This window comes from Homo sapiens, chromosome 13 (genome assembly GCF_000001405.40).
Source record: "Homo sapiens chromosome 13, GRCh38.p14 Primary Assembly".
NCBI lineage: Eukaryota > Metazoa > Chordata > Mammalia > Primates > Hominidae > Homo > Homo sapiens.
The window spans coordinates 99,620,033-99,647,071 of NC_000013.11; the positions used below are offsets into that span (position 1 = coordinate 99,620,033).

Consider the following 27,039-nt stretch of genomic DNA (forward strand, 5'->3'; position numbering starts at 1 on the left):
CCTCAGAAGGGGCGGCACCCTCATGGTGTCTCTGCCTGCAGCAGGGAGTGCTACCAGGCACTTTGTTCCAGTGACTTATGATGGACACAGCACAGCGCCTAGGGGTTAGGATTCTAAAATAATTCAGGTGTATGGAGACGCAGAACCTAAAAGAACTCAGGAGAAAGAGAAGGTAGATATCCTAAATTTTAGTCTGATTTTGACTCAGAAGTGGATACCTGATTTTGGCCTACATTTCACCTCTTTCAGTTTTTTTCTGCTCCATTTGGGTTCCCTGCTCACTTGGAACCCTCAAGCTGGCTTGCAAATGCCCAGAGCCACAGTGCTCTCATAGGGTCTGCCTGTTCTAGGGCCCATCAGCCAGCAGTCCAGCAGGGATGACCAGTGAGCCCAAGAAAACAAGCAGTGCTGATGTCAGATGTGTAGCCCTTCTCAAGTGCTATACATTTTAAGAAATGCCTTCACTGGGCATGGTGGCTCATGCCTGTAATCCCAGCACTTTGGGAGGCCAAGATGGGCGGATCACGAGGTCAGGAGTTGGAGACCAACCTGGCACAACATGATAAAACCCTGTCTCTACTAAAAATACAAAAATTAGCTGAACGTGGTGGTCACACACCTCTAATCTCAGCTACTCAGGAGGCTGAGGCAGGAGAATCGCTTAAACCCGGAAGGTGGAGGTTGCAGTGAGCTGAGATCCTGCCATTGCACTCCAGCCTGGGTGACAGTGAGACTCTGTCTCAAAAAAAGAAAGAAAGAAAAAGAGAGAGAGAGAAAGAGAGAGAGAGAGAGAAAGAAAGAAAGAAAAAGAAAGAAAGAAAAAAGAAAGAAAATGTCTTCTTCAGACACCTCAACTACAAAGGAGTCAGCCAGTCAAGAGAATTTCTCCTCTACCAGGAAGAGAATATGGGTATAGGAGAAGCTTGGAGTCTCTCTGCCACCCCTCATGTTCTCTGGACAAAGTCCCAAGCTGTGCGTTTGAATCATCAGTGTCTACTTGTCCTGCAGAACATCAGGAATTTACCAGGTAATCTGGTGACATGCCTGCACCAGAGGACTGGGAGAATCCTTACCGTTAAACCTCTTCTCCCCACCCCTGAACACATAAATACACTTTTTAAGCTTCCTAACGCTGTACTCTGATCATGGTGCCCACCCCCTTGGACAGCATAAATTTCCCAGTGACCTCCAATTACCTGCCGCTAAAGTCCAGGCCCCTTAGTGTGGCATGTACGCACCTCCTCACCTATCCTCCATCTTTCCATTTCCCCCCAGGCCGCTTACCTGTGGCCCACATGCACCACTCACCATGCCCCACACTCTCGAGTCATCAGTGCCACTTCCTCCTGGAAGCCTTCTTTCCCTGGACACCTCAGCCAGCCATCTGTCTCGTCCCTGAGAGCCCTAACCTCTCCGCTGACTTTTGTCACCCTTCCCTGTGTTAAGGTGATCGAGATGCAGAACTCCCAGTGGTCTTTGATGCCTCCTCTCCTCTCCCACCCACACCCCATCTGTTGCCAGGCCTGTTGATTTTCCCCTTCAGGTGCCAACTCTTCTTTCATTGTATTAGTTTCCTATTGCTGTTGTAACAGATTATCGCAAACATGGTGGTTTAAATTAAGCTTGTCCCTGCAGCCTGTGGGCCACATGTGACCTGGGATGACTTTGAATACGACCCAACACAAATTTGTGAGCTTTCTTAAAACATGAGATTTTTTGGCGATTTTTTTTTTTTTCCCTTTAGCTTATCAGCTGTTGTTAGTGGATTTTATGTGTGGTCCAAGACAATTCTTCTTCCAGTGTGGGGCCAGGGAAGCCAAAAAAACTGGACACCCTTGGTTAAGTTAACACAGATTTGTTAACTTATGCTTCTGCAGTTTGGAAGTCTGACCTAGGTTTTGTGGGCTGAAACCAAGGTGTTTACAGGGATGGAGAGTGTTCTTTCTGGCAGTTCTAGGGGTGATCTGTTTGCTTGCCTGTTTCAGCTTCTAGAGGCTGCCCACATTCTTTGGCTCATGGCTCCTTATCCATCTTCAAAGCCAGACCCAGTGGGCTGAATTCTTCTCCCCATTGCTGCCATCTCTCGGGTTCTGTTGCTTCTGCCACCCTTTTCCACTTAGAAGCACCCTTGTGATTACGTTGGCCCCACCTGGATAACCAGGGCCAGTCGCCCCAACTCAGGGTCAGCTGATTAGCAACCTTCATTCCACTTTGCCATGTAACCTGACATATCAATAAATACTGGGTATAAGGACGTGGACATCTTTGGGGGCCATTATTCTGCATACCCATCCACTGTTATAGATTCAGGTTTGAACTCTTGGAATGACCATCTAATGGGCTGAGTTCCCTCATTGCCTCTCATGTTATGTGCTGCCAGCATAGATATTAAGATGTACATTCTATCATCTAGACCTGTTGGTTCCAAAAACATCTCTTGGATCTGTCCTTTTCTTTTTGTCTCCATTGCCCCTACCCTAGTGGCAAACAATCCTGTGAAAAAGGATTGTTTACATGTATGGGTGCCCCTCCAGGCAATATTCAAGTGTACTCTTCGAGGCTGTTTTAGTACATTCACCATATTGTGCAACCATCACCTCCATCTAGTTCCAAAACATTTTCATCGCCCTAAAGGAGAACTCTATCCATTGAGCGGCCATTCCCCATTCCCTCCTCTCCTCAACCCCTGGCAACCACCAGTCTGTCTTCTGTCTCTGTGCATTTACCATTCCTTTGTATGGATATAGCACTACATTTTGTTTATTTTTTAAATTAAATTTAATTTTTTAGAGACAGGATGTAGCTCTGTCATCCAGGTTGGAGTATAGTGGCACCGTCACCCAGGCTGGAGTGTAGTGGCATGATCATAGCTCACTGTAGCCTTGGACTCCTGGGCTTGAGTGATTCCCCCTGCCTCAACCTTCCAAGTAGCTAGGACTGCAGGCACCCACCACCACACCTGGCTCATTTTTTAAATTTATTTGTCAGTTGATGGACATTTGGGCTGTTTCCACTTTTTGGTGATTGTGACTAGTGCTGCTATGAACATTCATATACAGGTATTTGTTTTCAGTTCCTTTAGGTTTATACCTAGGAACTGCTGTGCCATATAGTAATTCTATGTTTAACTTTTTGAGGAACCACCAAACTGTTTTCCACAGTGGCTGCACCATTTTACATTCCACCAGCAATGTACAAGCGTTCTGATTTCTCCACATCCTCGCCAACACTTGCTATTTTCCATTGTTTTTATTGCAGCCATCCTAGTAGATGTGAAGTTGTATTCTCGCGGTTTCTTCCAAATCATTTTTAAATGTACAAATTGTCTAATTTCACTTCTCTGCTTCACATCCTTCCTATTGCATTTATAATAAACCCTGGCCCCCATCTTGGACTCCAAGGAGTATATGATCTTCTCCCTCCTACCTCTTTCTCTCACTGCCTTCCATGCTCCTCACTCAGTCCACTTACCGAGCATCATTGGCCTTCTCCTGTTCCCTCAAGCAGGGAAGGCAAACACCCATGGGCTTTTATTTATTATTTCTTTATTTATTTTTTAACACTTCCCTCCTTAGGTCCAGAGACCATGGGCTTTGAGGCTCAGGGGATTCAGATCCAAGGTCCATTTAGAAGTAAATGATGAGATGAGTTGGGCACTGTGGCTCACGCCTGTAATTAGCACTTTGGGAGGCCGAGGTGGGCAGATCATGAGGTCAGGAGATCGAGACTATCCTGGCTAATACAGTGAAACCCCATCTCTACTAAAAATTCAAAAAATTAGCCGGGCATGGTGGTGCATACCTGTAATCCCAGCTACTCGGGAGGCTGAGGCAGGAGAATCGCTTTAACCTGGGAGGTGAAGGTTGCAGTGAGCCGAGATCGTGCCACTGCACTCCAGCCTGGGCAACAGAGTGAGACTCCATCTCAAAAAAAAAAAAAAAAAAAGATGAGATGATGCATTGAATGCTAGGTATGGCGTGTATGTAGTTCATAAGAACACCAATAAACAGTGGATGTAAAAAGCAACATCAGATAGATACCTAAAGGCCATGTCTTTGGAACAGGGGTAACCACCTGAAGCATGTCCTCCCTTCCCTGCCTTTTTCCTCCCTCAGAGCACCCCGTTCTTCATTGCACTTATGATTTGTCACCAGCCACGAATGTGTGCATCTCCCTGTTATGTTTGGTCTCCTGCACTGGGCTGGAAACTCCACGTTCACCCTTTATGCCTGTGCCCAGCACAGTGCCTGACACAGTAGGCACTGATTAAATGATTCTTGAATGACTGCATCATCATATGGTCACAGTAAACAGAATCCATCACTAATTATCTATTTGACATGAGCGGGTGGAAAGGCAAAGTTTTTATGCATGAGTGTGGGTGTATGTATGTTTTCCTAGATTATAGATTTGTCTAAACATTCCTGCTAATTTTAAGATATCAAATCTGAAGTTTCCTTGGCTTGAATTTTTGAACATAGGCCAAGGTTGTTTTTAGATTCCTCAGTATTCTCTCTTTTGTGAAAGTTTTCAAAAGTATAAACGGCGCATCTTCCGTACAACTGGTTTACATTGTTGGTTTATGCAGTTGAGTTGTGGGCAGAGGGGAAACCTCAATGTCTGAATGTGGCTTTACCCCAGCGCTGAGATATCCCCGGGAGAGCTTGGCCAGTCTGAGTCCATGTGGCCTAAAGATCCTCCCTAGCCAGTTCCCTGTCCCACCTACATTCTGTTTATTTCAGAACTTCTCACCTGTTGAACACACAGCCCTTCCTCAACACAGGACCAGCTCAGCATCGGGAAGCTGTATTTTAAGAAAATCATGGTCTTCCAGCTCAGTGGAGGCATCTTAGCGGGATCCAAAATAACATTCGCTTTTATCTTGAAATTCTTTCTGTTTTTGGTTTTTCCCCAACTCTCATCCTTCCCCCACCTTCACCTCAGACACTCCAGGTTATTACTGAAATTAAGCATGATAGAAAGTGTGGACTCATAGGCTCAGTTCTGTTCCCTCCTTATGGCCAGCGTGTGGAAGAGCTCCTCTGCTCTCATGCCTTCTCCATCGGAGCTGGTTCATCACCTTGGCCTGTCTTGGGCGGAGTCCCCGACTTGGGAGTTGTGCTGTTCGTTTGCTGTCCATCGGGCTGTAAGCTCCTTGAGGACCAGGCACCATGTTTACTCACCCCTGTCCCTTCTGGGAACCTGGGGGAAACTGCTAACTGGCGTGGCTCTCAGACCTTGCATGGCCCCACACATTTTTTTTCTGTGGGAACCACTAAGCATTAGCAACTCGCCAGTGATCAGCAGGGATTAGCAGCGTTTAGGCTCCGCAGACATTTAATGTGCTAATTGAGGAGCCCAGGGTTCGGCCAAGGAAGTGATTTACAAAGGTGGAAACGGGACTGTTGACACAGGTGCATCTTATTAATTACTGGTTTGGGGAATTAGTAAAAATGTTAATAATTTGAGGGATTATTGTTAATGAAGGATAAGAAACTTCACAACCATATGGTTTACTACTTGATGCGATTTTCCCTTTTTTAAAAAAATACTTTTAAATCTGGGTTTTAGGAAGGACAAGCCATTTCTTGCAGAACTTATTGATTGTATTACATAGGTAAATGGAAAAATATTTCCTAGAACAATTTTTTGTAACAGAAAATTCTAAAACATACCAGTAGTATGAAGTAAGAGGCACCTATGGCACATCTTTGTATTATTCAGTCCCTCCTTTATACATTCTTCTGACAAGAACGGGAGTCATGCCTCCCAGGCTCTGAGTCCCAGGCTCCGAGCATTACTGAGGCAGCTCCTAAGAAGAGAGAAGGGAAGAACATTTCCTGAGGATCTTTGCTGTGCCAGGTTCCAGAAGGTGCTTTGGCGCATCTCACGTGAGATACGGGCTCCTTTTGCCTGCTTTCTAAGAAGGGTGCGGTGTGAGGTGGCTGGCTGCGTGGAAGAGGCCTGGGAGGAGTAATTCCACCAGTATTGTGTCTTAGTCTTCAAGTGGCCAGTGCAGTACCTTGGCCTGTGGTAGATCCTGAGTAAATGTTGACTGAAACGAAGATGCCATGGCCGGTGGTGAAGCAGGGATCAGTGCAACAATGCTGTGAGAATACAGAGGCAGGGGTGGCTTTTGGAGGGCACCTGGATCATTCCCAGGGAAGCTGCCCTCTGGGCAGAGTTTAAAGTATGGCAGAGGGAAGAGTGTTCTTGGCAGAGGGCACAGGCCCGGTAGGGGAGTTATGAGCAGGTAATTGTGGAGTATGGGATTCCCAGGGGCTGGGCATGACGTTGAGAGCGGGGGAGGTTGAGGCCAGACTGTGAAGGGATTCCCAGGCCAGCCCAGGACTGACTTCAGATTTACATCCTATTGGCAACAAGGAGCCAGTGGAGATGTTTAATCTCTTTCGGCCTCCATCAAGTTAGCCTTTCAGTCTGTAACCTGGCCTAAGTGTTAGTCCCATGTCATTTGAACCCCTTGCCTTTCTCTTTTACTTAAATTACATTCACAGTGCGCTGTGAAACCTAATTGGAATAGACAAAACGTGGTGGAACTCTGCAGCTTATGGGGCCAGTTCATGCTCACCTTAATGTGCTTATAATGTACATTTAAATACTGCCAGTTATTTGGAGCTTTCAGGTGACTTCACTTCTCTGTGTATTATGTACTTCGCTTCCTACATCTGCAGTTAATTTGTTAAGAGACCTTAATGAGAAACTTCAAACAGTTTAAATGTCAATTACCAAAAAAGTAAGGTTTTCAAGTTCCAGTAATCTACCCGATTGGTCATCAGAATGTAGTCCCAGGTGGATGTAATTTAAGACATGACATTCCAGAGCTTCAGTTACAAAGAATTTATATATTTCGGGACTAATAAACTGGCTCCAGTGGTGGCTACACTTGCAGGATTGTCTGCAGTTATGACTCATCTAGTACCGGCGCTGCTCAGAACTTTCTGTCCACGGAGTTCACACTGGTTTTGTGTTTGGGCTGGTGCTTTTGAATCTGAAAAAAAGTGCATAAAAATATGCCAGAAATGTAGTAAATATTGTGATCATTTCATTTTTTAATCCGACACTTTTGAGAGGAAAAGAGTATTCATCAGTACTTTATCATAGATTTAATTAATGGGATAATCTTTAATTTCTGACTCAGACATCTGGATTTGTTTCTTGCCACCCCCTCCTTTTTTTCTGTGTTCCTTTCTCGTCTTTATTTTTGATGAAGATAAAATACTTAAAGAAAGCGTTGAATGTGATGATGAGTATTGTTTTAACAGAAAGTAAAATCAAAAGCATGCAGAATAAATTAACCTTGCATTTTCTCGGCAGGTCAGTTAGTGGGTGTTATATCCTTAGTTGTTGGTGCTACAAAGTAAATAATTTTTGGCAGCTGGTTTAGTTTTCACCACTTCTAAGCCTATGACAAATGGTCTTGGAAGATCTTTGGTCTTAAAAAGGAAAATTTTCTGTGTGCGAGTTTTAAGTTCAGTTTTGTTGGGTTTTGAAGTCTTTTTTATGTAAGCCACTTATGTGGCATTTTGTTTTATTTGAATTTGAAATTTTTTTTAAGTTTTAAAGCTAGAGTCTGCCACATTGAACTGTTTTTCACACTTGGCATTTAAAAGTTAATTTGCTTTTTCTGTTTTTAAAAGAGACTAAAAAACTAAGGTTTCCCCTACTAAGCATTTATTAGTCAACCACTTTTGAAAATTGAAAAATTAGTTTGTATGGTTTTAGATTGTTTTTCTCCCAGGAGAAATAATGTTGCTACATAATCTCAGACCTGCATTCACGTATTTAGCCTGCCATAAGTCACTGTCAAAATGAAGAAAATGCTGAAAGTTAGATATACCTGCACATGTGAATTTCATGTATTTTCTGGTAATCAACTCTGTTTTAAAGGCTTTTGGGAGTTGTTTTCTTTCAGAAGCAGCCCACTGGTGCTGTATTTGGCATGTTGTGTGTTATTAAAACTTCATATAAATGCAGAGGTACTAAAACGTGAAGTTTACAAAACCCATCGGAACATTTTTACTTGTGTAGTTAGCACGATCACTTCTCCAAGTACAATAATCTTTGTGTTGTGAGCCTGTAGACAAAACTCGTGTCTGGCATATCTGATTGGAATGTGAAATTTAATATTTTCCACTAGTTATTTCCCAACATGCAAAGTGAACTGATACCCATTAAATATATATATTTAAGTAAAAATAGAGAGGATCAGTGGCCTAATCAGCTTTACAGCTGTGAATTTAGGAAGTGAATTCACAACATCCCTCTCTCCAGAGAGACGACTTGATGACTTACTCTCGGTTTCTTTAAGTGATATAGTAGACCTTGTTTGGATTAATCAGCAGCCTTGGGAGTTGGAGCAGTCATTTGCAATATTGAGTGGAAAAGTTCCTTGTGCTTGGAAAAGTCAGAAGGCCAGGAGTGAGAGACATGGCCTCATCCTTTCCCTGGTGGCTCCTCACCTGTGAAGTTGCACCAGGGTGGTAATAAAATTGTAGGAGCTCATTTTATGTGAAACCATTAGCAGCCTGGGAATTCAGGACTAGCTGCCTTTCATACTTTAAGACACTGGAAGGTGTCATTTATAAGCATAGAGAGCCTGCAGGAAGGCAGAACAGGCTTGTAAACTGGAGCCTGAGGCTCTGGGCAGCAATCAGTGTGTAATAGAGTTTAAAGTCTTAGGTTATCAGAATCACAAATGGGCCTTTAAGTGTTGTGGGCAAATCCCAAGAAACATCTGTCTATAAAAGGCAGGTACAATGGCCAGTTATTTCCTCCTGGTTATTGTGATATTGTTATTTTCTGTTTCTGCCTTTGTGGATGGGAGTGGGGAGAGAAAGGGAGGGGCCCTTGCTACAAGTGTAAGAATAAAATTGTAAATGTTTGTGTTAGTTGAAAAAAAATTGACTATGGTAAGTGTCGCAGCTAATGTAGGGTGTTTTCACCTTGAAACAGCGACTGCCGCCCAGTTCCTGCTGCTTCGTTCGCGGACTCTGAATTCCACTGCTGGGGCAGGCGTGTGTGACAGGCAGAGAGAGCCCTGGGGTTGGGGGAACAAGGAAGTGTTTCCAGTTCCCATTTGGCTTATGCATTGGAGGGTTCCCCAATGTGGGGACAGCGTCCAGGTTCTTGGCCTGTGGAAATGACAAATGGCCCTGACAGGGGGCTATCCCAGCTTCAGTGTTTCTGTTCACCATCCTAAGAGTGGTTCTTTATCTGAAACCATGAAGAAAACCAGATGATTAGAGAAGAATTCAAGAACCCATTCTGTAGACATTGCCTCCTGACAAGTACAAATGCGTCTGTTGAAATCTCAGTGCTCCAAGTCCCCATCTATCCGCCTTCCCCCTCCTCCAGGTTTTAGACAGGTTACCTGATTGCCCCTGGTTGGCCCTCATCCCCTCCCCTATCTGGGCAGCGCTCTCCCTGCTGTGGGGTTGGGTGGTCCTCCTGCTCCTGGGTCATATGGTATCGAGAGATGCTGATTCCATCTGCAGCTCCTTCTCTGTACTGTGGACTTCACTGCTTGTCTCTTTGGCCACTAGGAAGCATTTATTCTGATTCTCATGGGCAGCTTGAGAGGCTTCCCACAGAGGGAAGGGTAGGCCTTTAATATTTCTGTCCTTCATCTCAAAGACTGTTTCTTTAAAGTGGACACAGATGGGATTGGGCTGGAGAGAGGTGGCCCCAGCCCAGGAGATCATGTTGTCTGGGTGAAACCACTGCACGCTCTGGTCCCTGGGCTCCTATTGCTCAGGGTTCCTTTTTAAAGCCCACTTGTCGAGTCTTCTTTCTTTACAGAGGAGATGTTGTGCTTACCCTCTTGTGAGGATCTCACAGTGTTCTAGCGCCTCTCCTTGGAGATGGTATTTACTGGTTTGAGGGTGACCTCTGCTAATGGACCTGTTCAGTCACCAGGTACAGGGCCTTCAGTTGTGTTGTCGAAGAGGCTCTGCTCACCCCTGCCCCACCATATCTGAGAAGTGCCCGAAGTTAGTTGGATGTGGCTTCTCTGCCTAGGTAGCCTTGCACCCCTGGGAGGATGGGGGCCTAAGCTGGAAGTGGATTTTTCTCATCTAGCAGAAGCACATTCGATACTGGATACAAAGCCCCATCTTCTGTTTCAGAAGCAGCTTGGAGCATTTCTTGTTTAACTGTCATGTAAGCCCCTTAAGCAATGCTTTTTTCAGAGAGGTATCATCCTGATAAATTGTCAAATGCCTCTTTCAAATCCATTCCTTTTAAAAAAAATCCTCTTTTCTGTTTATTCTGGAGTCACTCATCATGCAAATAATATCTTTGTGAGAAGTGGTGTTCCTGGAGTTGGAGAAGGCTCTTTAGTAGGGCTGCTGGTCAGTACAGTCCCTGAAAAACATGACTATTTATAACACAGGCACCAGAGGGTTCAGAGACGTGCTAAAAGTGGAGAAGTTGGGGGCAGGGGAGTGCTGGCAAGGATGAACTTTGCCTATTTCACAAGTTTTGACTAAAGTAGTTCTGAATAAGAAAAGCGTTTGATGAAATCTTACCTAGTATAAAGACATATTATTTTTGGCCTCTCTTTTTTCTTTCTTCTTTTTGTTCTTTCACCTTTCCCCTGTGACCTCCCATTCCAGCTGAGCCCTCTTGTTCCCATTTGCCCTGTATTGTTGATCTTAACCCCAGCTCTGCCCTCTCTTAAATCCTGTTCTTATTCTTGGAGAAGACTACAGTCTCCCGAGCTCTTTCTATATGCCAAGCACTGTACTTTTATACATTCATATTATCATGAGGAAATATTCTTTTGCCTATTTTACAGATGAAGCAAGTGAGATTCAGGGAAGTTAAGTAATTTATCCAAATTTACATGCCTACTAAGGGATGGAGCAGGAGCCAGACCCCTGTTTCTGAAGCATGTTTGCTGAACCACTACACTTTAGCCACCTACTGTGGATACCTTTGGAAAGGAGGATTCTTTTACCGTTACCAAAAAGATATTAATAAAAATAAGTCCAGGTGTGGTGGCTCATGCCTGTAATCCCAGCACTTTGGGAGGCAGAGGCAGGTGGGTTACTTGAGCTCAGGAGTTCGAGACCAGCCTGGGCAACATGGTGAAATCCCGTCTCCACAAAAAATAGAAAAATTAGCCACGCATGGTGGCGCATGCCTGTAGTGCCAGCTACTCCAGAGGTTGAGGTGGGAGGATTGCTTGAGCCTGGGAGGCAGAAGTTGCAGTGACCTGAGATAGTGCCACTGCACTCCAGCCTGGGTGGCAGAGCCAGACCCTGTCTCCAAATATTTATGTGTGTGTGTGTGTGTGTGTGTGTGTGTGTGTATGTATACACATATATAATTTATATGCAAATATATAATATATACATATATTACATACATATATGTGTGTGTATATATAATCAAATGCCCATAAATTGAAGATTCATTAAATACAGGGATAGTCATACCATAGTAATGACGTAGCTGTTAAAAAGAATAAGGTAGTTCCCATAAATGGTAGAATAGCTTGATTGTACTAATCCCCCTGTATTTTATGTAGATTTGTAAGATTCACACCAAATTTTTTTTTTTTGAGTTGGAGTCTCGCTCAGTCGCCCAGGCTGGAGTGCAGTGGCGTGATCTCGGCTCACTGCAACCTCCACCTCCCGGGTTCAAGCGATTCTTCTGCCTCAGCCTCCTGAGTAGCTGAGACTACAGGCACGCACCACCACGCCCAGCTAATTTTTGTATTTTTAGTAGAGACGGGGTTTCACCATGTTGACCAGCCAGGATGATCTCGATCTCTTGACCTCGTGATCCACCCGCCTCAGCCTCCCAAAGTGCTGGGATTACAGGCGTGAGCCACCGCACCTGGCCACACACAAAGTATTTTTAAAAACTATTGTAAGTCACCAGAAAGCAAGCAAAATCAGGCAGAAACTGGAGGAGAATCTACCTCAAAAGACAAACTGCGGTGGATAAGGTTTGCAGGTTTGTAGCTTTAACCTGAAGGTACTCCCAAAGCTAATTAAGTGGCCAAAAGCCGCAGCCTTACTGTATTGCGATGTTAGAGGGCAGAGGTAGAAACTGGCAGAGCTGGCAGAGCAGTCAGAAAATTAAGAGGGAAACCCCAGAGAGGAGGGAGCTACAGAGGGCACAAACACCCAAATCTGCATATGAAATTGCACAAATCCTTGGTTGGCTACTAAACTATGTGTCTGCAAACCTGGTGAAAAAGTAGCAGCTTTAAGCCTGAAAAAAACTAAGCAAAGATCTTGGCCACTGCCTACCATAGGGAAGACAGAACTTGGTATTTGTGTTCAGCCAAGTTAGCTGTCTGCTAGAACAAAAATTAGTCTTCAGAGAAATGTGCAGAATCTGGAATCTCTATAACATATCGATCATCATGTCCAGTGTCCTATCAGAAACCACTAGAGGCCGGGCATTGTGGCTCATGCCTGTAATCCCAGCACTTTGGGAGACCAAGGCAGACGGATTGCCTGAGGTCAGAAGTTTGAGACCAGCCTGGCCAACATAGTGAAACCCCATCTCTACTAAATATACAAAAAAAATTAGCCAGGTGTGCTGGTGGGCACCTGTAGTCCCAGCTATTCAAGAGGCTGAGGCAAGAGAATCCCTTGAACCTGGGAGGCGGAGGTTGCAGTGAGCCGAGATTGTGCCACTGCACTCCAGCCTGGTGACAGAGTGAGACTCCGTCTCAAAAAAAACAAAACAAAAACAAAAAAACCCCACTAGATAGAGGTAGAAATGGGAAAAAAGTAGATAATAGAAGCCAAACTCAAGATGATAGAGATGTTACAATTAATAGACAAGGACTTTAAAGCATCTACCATAAATACATTCAAAGACTTAATAAAAATGTATACACAATGAATGAACAGATAGGGAGTATCAGCTTAGAAATAGTAGCTATGGGCCAGGTGCAGTGTCTCACACCTGTAATCCCAACACTTTGGGGGCCCAGGTGGGTGGATCACTTGAGGCCAGGAATTCATGACCAGACTGGCCAACATGGCAAAACCCTGTCTCTAACTAAAAATACAAAAATTAGCCAGGTGTGGGAGACTGAGACAGGAGAATCTCTTGAACGTGGGAGGCAGAGGTTGCAGTGAGCCGAGATCATACCAGTGCACTCCAGCCTGGGCAACAGAGCAAGATCCTGTCTCAAAAAAAAAAAAAAAAAAAAAAAAAGAGAAGAGAAGAAAAGAAATAAGGCCAGGTGTGGTAGCTAATGCCTGTAATCCCAGCACTTTGAGAGGCAGAAGTGGGCGGATCACTTGAGGTCAGGAGTTTGATACCAGCCTGGGCAACATGGCAAAACCCCGTCTCTACTAAAAATACAAAACTGGGCATGGTGGCACGCATCTGTAATCCCAGCTACTTGGGAGGCTGAGGCACAAAAATCGCTTGAGCCTGGGAGGTGGAGGTTGCAGTGAGCCAAGATGGCACCACTGTACTCCAGCCTGGGTGACAGTGCAGGACTCTGTCTCAAAAAAAAAAAAAAAAATAGCTATGAAAAAGAGCTGAAAGGTTAGTGGTTGCCAGAGGTTGAGGGGAGGAGGGAATGGGAAGTGATTGTTTAATGCATATGGGGTTTCCTTTTGTGTTGATGAAAGTGTTCTTGAGCTAGTGGTGAGGCTTGTACAGCACTGTGAATTTTAAACTTTAAAATGGTGAAAATTGTGAATTTTATGAAAAGAGAGGTGAAAATACATGAACTAAATAGAAATTTTTACCAGTAAGCTCAATAGCAGACAAAGTTAACTGAAAAATAGATCAATCGTATGTACTCAGTTTGAGGAAAAGAAAAAGATTGAAGAAAAGCAAATAGAGCCTCAGAGACCTGTGGGACAGTACCAAGCAGTCTAACATGTATAGTTGGAGTTCCAGAAGCAAAAAAGAGATTAGGGCAGAAAAAATATTTGAGGGGATAATGACCAGAAATGTTCCAAATTCGGTGAAATCCATTAACTCACTGATCCCTTAACAAACACTCAGCAAGATAAATTAAAACACACACATGCACATGAGAGCCACATTGCTGAAATCCAAAAATAAGAAAGTCCTGAAAGCTGCCTGAGAAAAAAAGAAGGTGCACAGAAGGAACAATAATATAACTAACAGCCGACTGCTTATCAGAAACAGTGGAGAGTAGAAGGTAAACGTATTGAAAGACAAAATATCAACCCAGGGTTCTACGTCCAGCAAAACTATCCTTCAAAATTGAAGCCCAAATAAAGACCTTTATAATTAAACAAAAACTGAGAGAATTTGTTGCAAAGAATCTGACTATGAGAAATGCTAAAGGAATTTCTTTAGGCTTAAGGGAAATAACCCCAGATGATAACTTGGATCTATAAAAAGAAATGAACCAGAAATGATGAAGAAAATAATCAGATAGATCCATCTGTGTTGATGTAAACATGTAATAGTAATAATAATAAATATTTATATAGCAATTATTTCAGGAAGGACACGCAAGAAAACTTTAACAGTGATAACCTTCCCCGTGGAAAAGGGGAAGAGATTGAGAGCTTGGAGTATGAAAAAGGAGACTAAATTATTATTTTGTGCTTCTTTTGATCATTTGAATATTTTTTAATGTGGATGTATTACTTATTTTTTTAAATAAATTTTTAAATGTCATGAAATAGCTAGGAAAAATAGAGATACTTGATACAAGATGAGAAAATAATGTTCTGTTTCTCCCTTGTAAGGAATATGACAGAAATCGAGACATTGTAGACTGGGAGTCAGGATTGGGTTTCTTTCCTACTCTGTTAGCAGGACACTGTGTCACGTGACAAAGGCTGTGAAGGAGGTATCAGATCGCGCTCTCTGGCCTTGGGCACCTTCTTTCCATTGCTAGGTCTTCTTCCCCATCCCCAGACGTCCCTGCTCATTCCCGGAGCGGCAGCTCCAGGAAGGCACATCTTGCTCTAAAATGGCCTCCTGAACACTCCTGTTCCCACACACTGTCTGGCTTAATCTTACTCCAAGGCAGGCAGCTGCAGAGGGTGCCAGGGCTGGTTCTGCTCCTGGGTTCCCATCTCGGGTGATCAGGACACCATCGTGTGCTCTGTCACCCAAGCCAGCAGCCTGAGAGTCCGCCTTTTAACTCACCTTGTTAATGACCCCAGGTACGTTTCATTAGGTCTTCGTAATGAAATGTACCTGGGGGTCATTAACAAGGTCAATTGACCCAAATCCTTCTCAAATCTGCCGCCTTTCTCTGTCATGATTTTTATAATCTGCACCACGCCCCCCACACCCCCAACCTTTTCCAGGATCAAATTGAGACTTCTCCAGTGTTTGCAGAGTGAGGTCCTGTCTTTAGCCCAGGCCTTCCTAGCCTGGCCCCTACCCAGGTCCAACCTTGTTTTCCACATGTGAGGGTCCACCCTCATCTCCCAGTGAGGTCAGGTCTGGCCATTCAGCCTCCCCTTCCACATGTTCAGCCCTCCTGGCTTTGCGCAGCTTATTGCTTTTTCCTGTGTTCCTTCCTTGTCTTCACATAGCAAATCATTCTCACCTCCAGAGATGCTGTGTCCTATGTCCTAGAAGCCTTACCTATTCCCTAGCATGCTGAACTGAGTGGTCCTGTCCCGGCCTCCCATAACTCTTGTTAATGCTCTGTCCTACTCTTGGAGAGACCATGAAGACTGGGGGAAGAGGACAGGGTTTGGAGTTGGACAGATTTGGTCTCAATTCTGGTCTTTCCATTTACTGGCTGTATGAGCTCAGGCAAGTTGTTTAATCTCCCCAGTCTCAGTTTCCTCATCTTTATGGTGACAATACTACTGCTTACTTTGCTGAGACAGATGGACTAAAGATAATATATATAAAGTGCTTGGTGTGGTTCCTATTATAGCTTTATTCTTACAACACTTTTTTAAACATTGTGTTGATTAAACATTTACTTGATTAAATGTTTTTCTCTCCCATTAGACTATACATTCTTTGAGACCAGCAGTGCTTAATGTTTGTAGAATTCAACTTTTAATGAGTTTGAATTTTAACAGAGTACATTTGCTAAGTTAAAAGAGTGATTATATTAACTTTAATTGTGGAATTTCACGTAATGTGAAATTCAAAGCTTTATATATATTTTCAGCAGAGACTCTTAAAATTATGTTTTCGAAATAACAATTTTATCTCCCCAAGCAAAATGCCACCTGCACCTTTACAAACACTTTACCGCAGTTATGTGAACCTTCATTGCTCACCCTTGCTGCAGATCATTAAATGTATGCATAAATAGAATTATTAATGTTTACCAAGGTCTTAAAGTCCTGGTAAGAAAATATTGAGTGGTCAATATAGAAAGGTCACCTGTTAGCTCCTGATGCTTGAAAACAGAGGTGGGACCTGGTGAGCCTGTCTTCAGCTGATGCAGTGCCAGCACATCTGGGCTGGGCAGGGCCTCCAGTGCCTTCTGCACAGGTTCACGTGGCCAACTCTGCTTGGACAGTGGGATCTGCTCCCTGGCAGCTGGGACACCTGCTCCCCACTGTTGAGCCATTCCTCTTGCCAGGGCTGTTTGAGTATCAGCCACTACATTCCTGGCCCCCTCCTTTTAGAGAGAGATCTCTGATTTTAAGAGGCAAGGTTTAAAGTAAGACATTTCATGTGTAGTAGCAGATATTATTAACTTTGTTGTGCACAGTATGCCTTGGATCTTCTTTTCTTGGGTAGGGTACAGATAAAATGATGGTTCTACGAGGGGTAAGTAGGAAAAATTAGTGGTTCTGGATTCTCTCCATGCCTTCACTCCATTATAGTCACAGTGGCAAGATGGAGTATTAGCAAGACAGGTCCTGAGTGTGGTTGCGGTCTAATTTAAACTTTTTTTTTTAGACTTACTCTCTCGCCCAGGTCGGAGTGCAGTGGTGCAGTCTTGGCTCACTGCATCACTGCATCCCCCAGCCAGGCTCAAGCAATTCTCATTTCTCAGCTTCCTGAGTAGCTGGGACTACAGTCATGTGCAACCATGCCTGGCTAATTTTTTTATTTTTAGTAGAGACGGGATTTCGCCATGTTGGCCAGGCTGGTCTTGAACCCCTGGTCTCAAGTGATCTGCCCGCCTCCCAAAGTGCTGGGGTTACAGGCATGAGCCACTGTGTCCAACCTAATTTAAACTTTATCTTTGTAAGTGCCAGGGTAATAGAGGCTACCCAGTTTGCCATTGTGCTCACCCAAAGATGAAAGTGCTAAGGTTGAGTGGAAGAATTCCCAATTATTAAGCCCCTCCTCTCCCTGTGTTGAAAATTCTCCATGAAAACCCATCTCTGGAGGTGTATCAATCAGTGTTATCACTGCCCTAAGCCATTTCTGTCAAATCCAGTCTTTCCAGCATATTGCATATTCCCTGTCTTGCCAGTGAAATGTGGTAAAGAAGAAAAAAGTTGCCACAGAATGTAATTTTTAAAACCATAGCCGGGCACGGTGGCTCACGCCTGTAATCCTAACACTTTGGGAGGCCGAGGCGGGTGGATCACCTGAGGTCAGGAGTTCAAGAGCAGCCTGGGCAACATGGTGAAACCCTGTCTTTACTAAAAATAAAAAAGGCCAGGTGCTGTGGCACGCACCTGTAATCCCAGCTACTTGGGAGGCTGAGGGAGGAGAATTGCTTGAACCCAGGAGGTGGAGGTTGCGGTGAGCTGAGATCGCGCCACTGCATTCCAGCCTGGGCTACAGAGTGTGACTTCATCTCAAATAATAATAATAAAACCATAAAATTCCTACAAAGTGTGAATATATATTTATGAATGATGTCTGTGTGTATCCGTATACATACATCCATTCATATTTCTGAAAAGCTTTCAAGGAGAATTTTTAAACATAGCAGATGCATTAATTTGCATACAAAGAAGCCAGTTACGGATCATTCTTATCTAGTTATCCAAGTCAACAGTGCCTTTTTTTTTTTTTTTTTTTGAGACAAGGTCTTGCTCTGTCGCCTAGGCTGGAGTGCAATGGCACAATCGCGGTTCACTGCATTCTCGACCACCCAGACTCCAGTGAGTCTCCTACCTTAGCCTCCTGAGTAGCTAAGACCACCAGCTACACCTGGCTAATTTTTATTTTTTAATTTTTTGTAGAGATGTCTCCCCATGTTGCCCTGGCTGGTCTCAAATGCCTGGGCTCAAATGGTCCCCCTGCCTCAGCCTTCTGAAGTGCTGGGATTACAGGAATGAGCCACTGTGCCCAGCTTAATGATGCTATTAAACTACACCTGTTAACCTTCTACTTGCTTTCTGTGGTTGACAAGTAATTCTCTTTGCATTTCTTTTTACTAATTCAGATGGGCTTCTCTTTTCTTACTCCAAATTATTGAAAGTTATTTATTTGTGTAAAATATTACATAGACATACACACACACAATATATGTGTGCCTTATGCATTTTACAACATCATCTGAACAAATATTTATTAACTACCTATTGTGTTTCAGACTCTGTGCTAGACATGCGGGATTTCGCAGTGATCAGAACAGTATCTGCCCAACAGTCCCACAAAGAAATATTAAGCAAGAATAAAATCTGTAGCCACATACCTGTGTACATTTTTTGAGAGCTTACTATGCTCTGGGCACTGTGCTAACATTTTCAACATTATTTCATGTAGCACTCTCAACAACTGTGTGAGATAAGTTTTATTTATTGTTACCATTTTTCCAAGGAGGAAACCGAAACACAGAAAGGTTAAGTTACTTGCCTGAGGTAACTTAGCATTGATAGAATTAGGATTTGAACCTGGGTAGTATGACTCTTAGGTCCCCATGAGCTGGCACACAGGTTGCCAATCCATCAGTTAACCTTCCCATCACTGGGTCAGAGAGCCAAGGAGCAGAAGGGGGATAGAACTTCCCCAGTACCAAACTAAGGGGCTGAGCTGGGATCGCAACCACAGGTTCTGTTCCAAAGCTGGGGCTCTTTCGACAAGGCCATGCCCGCCTTGTCTCTTATGTATGCTTTTTCACTTGAGGCTGAATTTTAGGTCTGAGTCAACTGCATTTTGAAAAAAATCATCTGCTTGAAGACCCTGATGATGTAACAATAAAGGCCATTGGAAAACCGGCAATCTGTGAATCTTCATATAGATGAAATATCCAGGTTAGAATTTATCATCCTAATCTGGATATTTTTGAGAGTGAAAGGAGTACTGTTATAGATGCTGGGGCATCAGGAGCCAGCCAGGACGTCCAGGCAAGCCGGGGCTTGTGGTCACTCTGTGGACACGCAGCATGGTCATTAATGCCCACACAATGTGTGTATTGTTATTTGTAGATTCCATTACTCTTTGGAATATAAACCTCTAAGCAAGCTAAAATAACTCTACTATGCTTTAATTATGCATTGTTGGTAACCATAACAATAAATCCTTGGCCAATTCCAATCCAAGGACATAAGCATTTAGAGTCATTTTTAAAGGAGTGCTCCGATGGTTTAGCAGTCATGTAAATGCATTTATATGTAACAGAAGACAAAAACAATAATTAAGATAAACATAAAACTCATCCCTTTTGCCTACAGAGGCAACTCTATTTTTAGAACTACAAATTTGGGCTGGATGTGGTGACTCTTACCTGTAATACCAGCACTTTGGGAGACCGAGGTAGGAGGATTGCTTGAGGCCAGGAGTTTGAAACCAGCCTGGCCAACGCAGCGAGACCATATCTATACAAAAGAAAAGTTAAAAACTTAGCTGGGCATGGTGGCATGTGTCTGTAGTCCCAGCTACTGAGGAGGCTGAGGCAGGACAACCACTTGAGCCCAGGAGTTCAAGGCTGCAGTGAGCCATGATTGTACCAGTGCACTCTAGCCTGGGCAACATAGCAAGACATTATCTTAAAGAAAAATTGTATGCATAGCCTGAGTACATGATTTGAATATATTTAGGAAATAGATAATGGGATAAAATATTCAAAAGTGAAATTATGCAGGAAAATTCCAGGCATGTGATTGTCATATACATAGTTGAACATTTCTATTCTCTATGTAGTTTAGACTTTAATTAAACAGAATAATCTGACTTTAATCTCTCTTGATACTATAAAAGTAACTTGAATTTGTTCATTTTTTGTTTTTTAATCATGAAAACTAATGCCCAAAGTACCTGTCTAACTCAAAATAATTGTTTCTTTTTTCACACAAAGCCAATTGAATAGATTGGACAATTGCATACTTAAGATTTAATATATTTGCTCATCATATTATGGGTTTTAAAAAATCATTTATCTTGGAGCTAAGTACATTTCACTATGGTTTTTTATGTTCATTGTCGTAAAATATTATCTTTAATGTTTCACTAGGTTCACTAATGTTAGGCTGAGGGTGTTTATTGTTGTATCAGATATCCTTTTGTGTTTTATTTAAATCTATATTTACTAGTTTTAAATAGTTTGCCTTATTGCTAAGGCTAGTGGAAAATAGTTAAAGTGTGAGAATGTGGTTTTTCCCTGTAGTGTTCTTTTGAGTAGTTGACAGCTGTGAAAACATTTAGCAGGCTTCCCTCCTTTTCAGCGTTGGTTAAGCTCTGCTTCTAAAGGAGTATTCCTAGCAGAGCTTGCCACAGTATATCCAAAACATTGCTGTATTACAGACGCAACATGGTTTAAAAGGAAAAATTGAGTGTGGGTTTCAAGTTGACACATGATAAAAGTAGCCCTGAAGTGTTCAATTAGAAACTGAAGGCCTGGATCTGATAACTTCATGGGCAGTGCCCCTGCTCTTTTGTCTTACGACCAATAGGATTTTGACTGCTCAGGAAATTTGTATGCATGTACCCAGATATAGACCTAGGCACCTAAATGCACACGTGGATATATACGAATATATGGTGGACAGTGCAGATCCAAGCTACTCCTGCTAACACATTTCTGGAAAACATTCCCTTTATGGGAGGACTTAACAAAAAAATTAGTAGCTAGTTTTACTTTGGTTTACATATATTGTTTTTCTAATATAGAATTCTCATTAGTTGGTTTTATGAATCATATCACCAAATGAAAATTTGAAAAGTATGTAACAGTTTTCTATTGAGCGTTCTCTGAATATTCTTGCCTTCAGTCCTGCTGGGAGCCTTTTCTCAGATCACCAGTGCAAGCCTACAGTCATACATTGTTTGTAGTTGATACAACCTCAATGATATAAGTTTTTTGATGATTTTAAAATATGAGTAATTAATCATTTATAACCTATAGGTTAAAATGAATTATAAGTGGATGAAGGTGGGAACCCAAATGAATCAAAGCTATTTAAGTTTGGTATTGACATTGTGCATCTTCCCATTATTTATTATACCAAAAAAATCACTTTATTTCTTAAAAATAGTACAACACGGCCAGGTGCAGTGGCTCACGCCTGTAATCCCAGCACTTTGGGAGGCCGAGGTGGGTGGATCACGAGGTCAGGAGATCAAGACCATCCTGGCTAACACAGTGAAACCCCGTCTCTACTAGAAGTACAGAAAATTAGCCGGGCACGGTGGCAGGCACCTGTAATCTCAGCACTTTTGGGAAGCCAAGGTGGGCGGATCATGAGGTCAGGAGATCAAGACCATCCTGGCTAGCACGGTGAAACCCCATCTCTACTAAAAATACAAAAAAAAAAAAAATTAGCCAGGCATGGCAGCGTGCACCTGTAGTCCCAGCTACTTGGGAGGCTGAGGCAGGAGAATGGCGTGAACCCGGGAGGTGGAGCTTGCAGTGAGCTGAGATCGCACCACTGCACTCCAGCCTGGGTGACAGAGCGAGACTCCATCTTTAAAAAAAAAATAGTCCAACACAAGAAGGAAAGAAGGTACAGAAATGGAAAGTTAAGAATGAATCAGTGGAGTAAAACATTTCTGAGATTGGTGCATTTTCCTTTTGGAAATGTCATTCAAACCATATGAAATTAAATTTGGAAATAATGTTCTGCAGTCTCTTGAATGGGATTTAAAATATGACAATGCAGAAAACACATATGGGGATGAAAACCCATAGGACATGTCTCAAGGAGGACAGACACCCTGGGGAAGAACACTTGTGAGGGTACCAGGCTCTCAGACACAAGGAAAGAGGAATCTGAGGGATTGCTGGGAAGGATTCTCATCTTATGACCCCAGCTGTGGGTAGATTTGGCTGGGGAGCCCATTCTCATTGCAGGGGGCGGTGGCCTCAGCCCTGTGCATGCTGACTCTTCAGTGCTGTGCTCTGGCTGAGGCGTGCCTCTAGTGAGGGTGACCCTGGGCACCGAGCATATTCAGTCACCATCAGCCAAAGCTGGTTGTAGGAGGGCTGGCGGTGGTCTTGGGAATGTTGCTTGAATCCATCTTGGGGTGAAAATCAGAGTATTGGCTCATTTCTATTTTTTATGATTATTGTTATTATTATTATTATTATTGAGACAGGATCTTGCCCTGTTGCCCAGGCTGGAGTGCAGTGGCACGATCACAGCTCACTGCAGGTCACAGCTCCCAGGCTCAAGCAATCCTCCCACCTCAGCTTCCCGAGTAGCTAAGACTTCAGGTGTGTGCCACCTGGCCTGGCTCATTTTTTAATTTATTTTTGTAGAGATGAGGTCTCCCCATGTTGTCCAGGCTGGTCTCAAACTCCTGGGTTCAGGTGATCCTTCTGCCTCATTCTTCCCAAGTGCTGGGGTTACAGGCATGAGCCACCATGCCCAGCCTCTCCTTCCTGCCTGCCTGCTTCCCTCCCTCCCTCCCTTCCTCCGTTGCTCTTTTATTTTCTTTCCTTTTTTTTCCTGTTGCTCAGGCTGGAGTGCAGTAGTGCAATCTTGGCTCACTGCAGCCTTAACCTCCCAGGCTCAAACCATCCTCCCACCTCAGCCTCCCAACTAGCTACAGCTACAGGCATACACCACCACGCCTGGCTAATTTTTTATTTTTTGTAGAGCCAAGGTCTTACTATGTTGCGCAGGCTGCTCTCATTTCTAATACACTGAGCTCAACTGCTTGCTGGGTGAGGCCTGCATGAGGACTTTACTCATGGGCTCATAGAAGCCCTTTTAAGCTGCTTAGTGTCCTTAGAGTCTCCAGAGGCATCCCTAACCCAGAATCTTTTGACTGTCCTCTGGAGAGAAAGGCAGTAGGTCTGTACCAAGACCAAGGGGCTTGAAGGCTTGGACGCTCTGCTTCCACCTGCCTCTGGAGTGGCCAGAAGTAATGCCTGTTCTCATGACCAGCCAGTTTGCCTCACTGCTCCGGTGCCAAAGGCCAAGTTTTGATTGGAATGATGTCTGTATATTCTGAATAACCAGGAATTTTGTTTTTCTGATTTACAGATCTTCAGGCTTTTCATCAGCATGATTTGCCATCTCTGTCTTTGTCATCTAGGGTCTGTAATTATCCTCAGGTTTTCTGCCAATACCTGCATTTTCAACCAGTTAGAAAAAGAAGAGCTAAAACAGGTAGAAGCCTGAAACCAAGGGGCATATGCATTTCTGAAACATTTTCAAGAAATTGTCTCAATTTTATATTTCTGTTTATAATTATAATTTCAATGTCCAGTGGAGGAAGTTGTGAGACTCAATGTCAGTAGCTACCACTTACTATTCTGTGCGCCTCGGTTCAGATTGTTTGGGGCAGTGGTGTTTTATGTTGTGGGTCCAAACCCATGAGTCATCTGGGAAGTTAATTTATTAGGTCACAATGAGCGTTTTAAAAAATGAACCATAGGCCCGGCGCAGTGGCTCACGCCTGTAATCCCAGCACTTTGGGAGGCTGAGGCAGGTGGAGCATGAGGTCAGGAGTTGCAGACCAGCCTGACCAACATGGTGAAACCCCGTCTCCACTAAAAATACAAAAATTAACTGGGAGTGGTGGCGGCGCCTGTAATCCCAACTTTTCGGGAGGCTGAGGCAGGAGAATCGCTTGAACCCAGGAGGCGGAGGTTGCAGTGAATCCAGACTGCGCCATTGCACTCCAGCCTGGGCGACAGAACAAGACTCTGTCTCAAAAAAAAAAAAAAAAAAAAAAGAACTGTAACATAATAGGAAATATTCAATTCTGAGCCCATCACACATTTTGTCTTATGAAACTTTTGGTTTTTTATATGTGGTGTATGTATGTATATGTGGTGTATGTATGTATATGTGGTGTATGTATGTATATGTGGTGTATGTATGTACATGTGTATGTATGTATATGTGGTGTATGTGTATATGTGGTGTATGTATATGTGGTGTATGTATGTATATGTGGTGTATGTATGTATATATGGTGTATGTATGCATGTGCAAGCTCTCACTATAAATACACTTCTTCCTGTGGGTTGCAGTAAAAAAAAATTTGAAAACTGTTACCTTAAGACTATTTATTTTAAAAATTTTAATAGGTACATAGTGTATATATTTATGGGGTACATGAAATGTTTTGATATAGGTATACAATGTGTAATAATCACATCAAGGTAAATAGGGTATCTCTGACCTCAAGCATTTGTCATTTCTTTGTGTTTCAAACATTCCAGTTATACTCTTGTAGTTATTTTTAAATATATAATAAATTATTGTTGACTGTAGTTATCCTGTTGTACTATCAAATACTAGAACTTACTTCTTTCTATCTCACTGGATTTTTGTACTCATTAACCATCCCCAGTTTCCTTCCTCTACCCCACTACCCTTCCCAGCCCCTGATAACCAATATTCTAGTCTCTGTCCCCATGATTTCAATTGTTTTAACTTTCAGCTCCCACAAGTGAGTGAGAACAGTTGAAGTTTGTCTTTCTGTGCCTGACTTATTTCACTTAACATAATGTCCTCCAGTTCCATCCATATTGTTGCAAATGGCAGGATCTCATTCTCTTTTATGACTGAATAGTACTTCATTGTGTATATGTACCACAATTTCTTGATCCATTTAGCTACCGATGGCCCCTTAGGTTGCTCCCAAATCTTTGCTATTGTGAATACTGCTGCAATAAACATGGGAGTGCAGATATCTCTTCAATACACTGCCTTCCTTTCTTTTGGGTATATACCTAGCATTGGGATTGCTGGGTCATATGGTAGTTCTAGTTTTAGTTTTTTGAGGAACCTCTATGCTGTTCTCCATAGCGGTTGTACTAAATTACATTCCCATTAACAGTGTACGATGGTTTCCTTTTTTCCATATCCTCGCTAGCATTTGTTATTGCCTATCTTTTAGATAAAAGTCATTTTAGGCCGGGTGCAGTGGCTCACGCCTGTAATCCCAGCACTTTGGGAGGCTGATGCGGGTGGATCACGAGGTCAGGAGATCGAGACCATCCTGGCCAACATGGTGAAACCCCGTCTCTACTAAAAAAATACAAAAACTTAGCTGGGCGTGGTGGCGGGTGCCTGTAGTCCCAGCTACTTGGGAGGCTGAGGCAGGAGAATGGTGTGAACACAGGAGGCAGAGCTTGCAGTGAGCTGAGATTGCACCACTGCACTCCAGCCTGGGCGACAGAGCAAGACTCTGTCTCAAAAAAAAAAAAAAAAAAAGTCATTTTAATGGGGTGTGATATCTTACCGTAGTTTTGATTTGCATTTCTGTGGTGATCAGTGATGTTGAGCACCTTTTCATATGCCTGTTTGCCATTTGTATGTCTTCTTCTGAGAAATATCTGTTCAGATCTTTTGCCCAGTTTTTAAATTAGATTATTAAATTTTTTTTTTCCTATTGAGTTGTTTGAGCTTCTTATATATCCTGGTTATTAATCCTTTCTCAGATGGATGGTTTGCAAATATTTTTCCCCATTCTGTGGGCTGTCTCTTCACTTTGTTGATTGTTTTCCTTTGCTGTGCAGAAGCTTTTTAACTTGACATGATTCCATTTGTCTATTTTTGCTTCGGTCGCCTGTGCTTTTGGGGCCTTAGGGCAATTTCTGATCCAGGGAGAGGGCTTTCTTTAAGGGGTGTGGGGCATGAATAAGCCACCAGCAATGTCAGGGTATCTTCTTTCCTGTGGCTGAGAAATTCCCTAATTTAAACTTAGGATTCTGTTTGCCATGAACATGCTATTAAAATAGTGGCACCCTGGGACACTGTGGGGTTCAGTGGGCTTTTGTGAGCTATCCTGAGGTCCTAACCATCATTTGTGACATTTTTTCCATGGGGAAAAATTCATTTTCAGTTCCAAAGAAGCAACTTATTGGTGAATTATTTTGAGCAGGATCCTGTCATAATCAGGCACTGCTTTTATATTTTTTCTGTATTCAGTAGTAAATCTACTTGTACCTTAAGCAGTCATCGCACTCCTTTAGCCCCTTTTAATTTCTAATGAGGAGTGGTGTGTTATAGGAGTTTGGGGTGGCCTGGGGGAAGAAGGGTTGCTGAAGGATGGAGCTCCTGAAAGGGAGGGTTAATGAGGATGTGTGTCCAAAGGGTGAATGTCTGTGCTCCTCACCAGGGAGAAGGGCATCTTGCATTTACAATGATTTATAATTCACCTGGGTCAGGTTCCTCTGACTATAGGAGCCAATTGGTTACAGAAATCTTTTTTTTTTTTTTTTTTTTTGAGATGGAGTCTCACTCTGGCACCCCGGCTGGAGTGCAGTGGCGTGATCTCGGCTCACTGCAACCTCTGCCTCTTGGGTTCAAGCAATTCTCTGCCTCAGCCTCCTGAATAGCTGGGATTGCAGGTGCCCGCTACCACACCTGGCTAATTTTTTTTTTTTTTTTTTGTATTTTTAGTAGAGACAGGGTTTCACCATCTTGGCCAGGTTGGTATTAAACTCCTGACCTCGTGATCCACCCACCTTGGCCTCCCAAAGTGCTGGGACTACAGGCGTGAGCCACCACGCCTGGCTGGTTACAGAAATCTTAATATAAGGAGCTCGTTACAAAGGCAAGCATACCCTAGATCTGCCTGCTAGCCCTGCGATAGCTACTTCTCAGTACCTTCTGTGCCAGACACTCTTCTAGGCCCAGGGATACAGCAGGGAGAGAGGTGGGCAGGGCCCCTTCCCCTCTGGAGAGGCTGCTGCTGGGCCCTCCGCACGCTCTGGCCTCCCATGCTTTGGGAATGCTTGTCACTGCCAAGCTGTGCAGTGCATCA

At 43.3% G+C, this 27,039-nt stretch overlaps 1 protein-coding gene and 1 non-coding gene across 11 annotated transcripts in view; both read left to right on the forward strand.

The window, feature by feature from the left end:
- The window catches only part of CLYBL (citramalyl-CoA lyase), a 302,755-nt gene that overhangs the window by 13,343 nt on the left and 262,373 nt on the right, over positions 1–27,039 (forward strand). The window lies entirely within an intron of this gene.
- Positions 23,027–23,117, forward strand: MIR4306 (microRNA 4306). Its single transcript, NR_036191.1, has one exon. It is a non-coding gene; the product is annotated as a microRNA 4306 (primary transcript).